The sequence below is a fragment of the Homo sapiens genome, chromosome 1 (genome assembly GCF_000001405.40).
Source record: "Homo sapiens chromosome 1, GRCh38.p14 Primary Assembly".
In the NCBI taxonomy this organism is placed as follows: Eukaryota; Metazoa; Chordata; class Mammalia; order Primates; family Hominidae; genus Homo; species Homo sapiens.
Window position 1 is genome coordinate 200,535,726 of NC_000001.11, and position 3,778 is coordinate 200,539,503.

At 42.6% G+C, this 3,778-nt stretch overlaps 1 annotated feature.

Annotated features, from left to right (window-relative positions):
- Positions 1-70: a silencer, noted in NCBI's record as "silent region_1672". NCBI's record gives its function as "represses an Ori minimal core promoter by ATAC-STARR-seq in GM12878 lymphoblastoid cells {active_cell/tissue: GM12878}" and the evidence as "EXISTENCE:reporter gene assay evidence [ECO:0000049][PMID:35858748]".

A 3,778-nucleotide genomic window follows, 5' to 3' on the forward strand; every position in this document is an offset into this window, starting at 1 on the left:
ATATTAGGCCCTGTGAGGCAGCTGGCATCTGATGTCTAAGCTAGGCAACGCATAGTAATCTGCAGTTGTTTACTTTGCCTCTGGGTGTTGCCATTGAGCCAATGAGTGACTCACTACCCAGGTGGCACTGCCTCGCACTTGCTGATTGGAAAGTGACTTCTGCCCTTTTCAGGTGTATTTGCATTAAAATATTATAATAAAAATAAGTACCATTTATTGACAGATATCGAGTTATTTCTCATTTTGCCTGCACAATAGAAAATAAGCTGCAAAAACCTATGTATAGGTCATTCCTACCCCAGACCAATTATAAATCAAAATCTCTGAGAGTCAGGGTTGTTTTTTTTTTTTTTGAGACGGAGTCTCACTCTGTCCCCAGGCTGGAGTGCAGTGGCGCGATCTCAGCTCACTGCAACCTCCATCTCCCAAGTTCAAGTGATTCTCATGCCTCAGCCTCCCTAGTAGCTGGGGTTACAGGCACCAGCCATCACACCCAGCTAATTTTTTGTACTTTTAGTATAGATGGGGTTTCACCATGTTGGCCAGGCTGGTCTCGAACTCCTGACCTCAAGTGATCCTCCCACCTCAGCCTCCCAAAGCGCTGGGATTATAGGCGTGAGCCACTGCACCTAGTCAGGTGTTAGTATTTTTAAAAAGCTACCCAGTGCTGGAAGCAGTGTCTCATGCCTGTAATCCCAACACTTTAGGAGGCTGAAGCTGGAGGATTGCTTGAGCTGGGAAGTGGAGGTTGCTGTGAGCCAAGATTGCGACTACTGCATTCCAGCCTGGGAGACAAAGCAAGACTCTGTCTCAGAAAAAAAAAAAAAAAAAAAAGCTACCCAGGTGATACTGATGTGCAGCTAGGTTTGGGGCTCTGCTCTTGGTGGCTAACAGCAGAAAGTCTGGATCCAGATTACCTGGCTTCATCCCATCTTCATCATTTACCTGTAGCAGCTGTGTGACATAGGGCAAGTCCCTCAACTCTTCTGTGCTTCACTCTTCTGAACTTTCAGAGACAGCTAATAGGTCCTAACTCATAAGGCTGTTGTGAGCATTAAGTGAATCAATGGATAATTATTTAGTAAGTGTTTGCTACCATTGTTTTTATAGCTAATGAAGTTGTGGGTAACTCTTGAGAGTCTCCAGAAAATTCTTTCCATGTCTCATCAGAAGCTGTCAGTTATGCATATGGTTGTTATGCCTATGGTACAGAACAGAGCTGCTTCTGTCCTGAGCAACAAATGTAGCTATGTGCCCCTGATGTGGGGCCTAATTTATTTGAACCACCCATTGGGGTCTGGTCATTGTACTTTCTGTATTCCCTTGTTCCTCTGCCTAAACGCTACAATTCTTCTGATCTCTGGAGTCTTGCAGAAACTGATAACAATTTATGCATTGTAACTGCTGTGCTGCTTTGTTACATAAACATTAGGTCAAGAGCAAGACCCTGAGAATGCAGCTTTGACCAACTGAAACAGATGGTAACTGAGCCTTCCAAAGGCCACACTCCCCTCATATTTATTTACCTGGCAGGCAGCAGAATGAGCCCGTTTTGCTTTATGTGCAAAACTTTCCTCCCAGGCCAATTTTCTGGTGCCCCCCGTGACATATCGCAAAATGAAATAAAAGTATCAAGAACAGTAATTTATTCCTGAAACACATCTTCCAAGAGTTACAGATATCTACCATGTCGACCTCTCTTAGCCCGAACCTGAGCTGTCACCCACGTTAAATTACTTTCTAAATCAGAGGTAAACTTTATATCATAAAATACCATTCATAGCCACATCAATCCAACCTGAAATCTGCATTACTCTCTTGACCCGAACTCCTAGATATCTACAATTCACAGATCGACCAGCTTTGCTCTATCAGTATGCCTTACCCTAGTGGTGTATTACACTAATAGATTCCTGGAGCCGCAGCTCACTTTGTTGATGTATAAGAGCAATACGTTAAGAGAGCCCCAGCTCACTTGGATGATGTATAGTTGAAGTGGTCATCTGGGGGAAGCATGCTGGTGATGTATGGCCCTGACAAGGGCACCAACTGGGAGAGAACAAGTTCAAAGTGGGTTTGGTTTAGCTTGTAGAGGCAAAGAGAAACAACTTAGATCCCACCAGGCCATGTTCCCACTGGCCTCCCAAGGCCTTCTATTTGCAGGAAAGTAAGCAGCTGCACACACCGTTAAAGAGTGAGGTCTTAACCACTTTTGCCATAGAAATTATTGTTTGCAATTACTGTAAATCTCTCCAGAGGCTTAGATGAAAACAAAGACACATAGATGTTACTTTTACTTTTTGGATATATATTTCATAATAAAATTAATAAAGGAAATTGCATAAGGACATGTTATTAATTTTTACATTCTTGAGCAATGGGGAAAACTGTAGATGTGTGCACCAAAAGATATGTACCAGAATGTTCATATCAACATTACTGTAATTACCAAAAACAGAGAATGACACCAAGGTCCATCAACTGTAGAATGGAGTGTCAATTAACTATGGCCACACAAATCCCCATGGCATACAGCAATGGCATATTTTTTAGCTCATGCTTCTATGGCTGGCTCATCTAGGCTGGGTTCTGGAGGGTTCAGGGGAGGCACTGCTTTACACATCTCTCATCCTGCTCCTAGGACCAGCTTGCACCTCTTTGTCTCATGGCAACAGCAGAGAGACAAGAGCTAGCAAAACAAATCTTCAGAGCATTTTTTTCAAGATGGCATAACTTCTGCTAATATCCTTGTAACCAAAGCAAATCACATGGTCAAACCCATGCAGGGAATTGCACCGTGCCCACAGTGGGAAGGCATTGAAGAGTTACATGACAAAGGGTATGGATATAGGAAGGATGGTCAATGATGCAGTTTATCGGCCAGGCATGGTGGCTTATGCCTGTAATTCCAGCACCTTGGGAGGCTAAGGCAGGTGCATCACCTGAGGTAAGGAGTTTGAGACCAGCCTGGCCAACATTGTGAAACCCCATCTCTACTAAAATTACAAAAATTAGCCAGGCATGGTGGTGTGCGCCTGTAGTCCCAGATACTTGGGAGGCCAAAGCAGGAGAATTGCTTGAACCTGGGAGGTGGAGGTTGCAGTGAGCCGAGATCACGCCACTGCACTCCAGCCTGGGCAACAGAGTGAGATCCAAAAAAAAAAAAGCAAGCAATTTATCACCATTTATTATTAATGCAATAATAAGTCTAATTTATTATTAGATGAATAAACTGTGACAGTCATACAATGGAATACTATACAGCAAGGAAAATGAACTACCACTATACATAACAACCTAAATCTCACAGAGATAATATTAAGCAAAAGAGGTTAAACACAGGAGTTCATAGGTATGATTCTACTTATAGAAACCTCAAAAACAGGCACAAGTAATGATGGTGTTAAAAGTCAGGGTGGGGGTTACCTTTGGGATCAATGACTAGGAGCAGGCATCAGAAGGGCTTCCAGTGTTTGTGATACTCTGTTTCTTTATCTAAGTAGCAACTACACTGATGCATTCACAGAGTGGAAATTCTTGTAGGACACATATAGTTTCTGTATTTTATATATTTGGTATGCTTCAATTAAAAAGTTTATTTGAAGAAAACTGAGCATGCAAAGCAGCATGACAAGCCTGGGGCAGATTAAAAAATGAGATATTTAAAACAGGAATGCTTTAAAGCTCTTGAAAAGCACATTCATGGCTTCATGACGGTATAGAGAGTGACAGCAGGACAGATAATCAGAGGGGCAAAGAAAGGAAGGGGCTTCCCTCT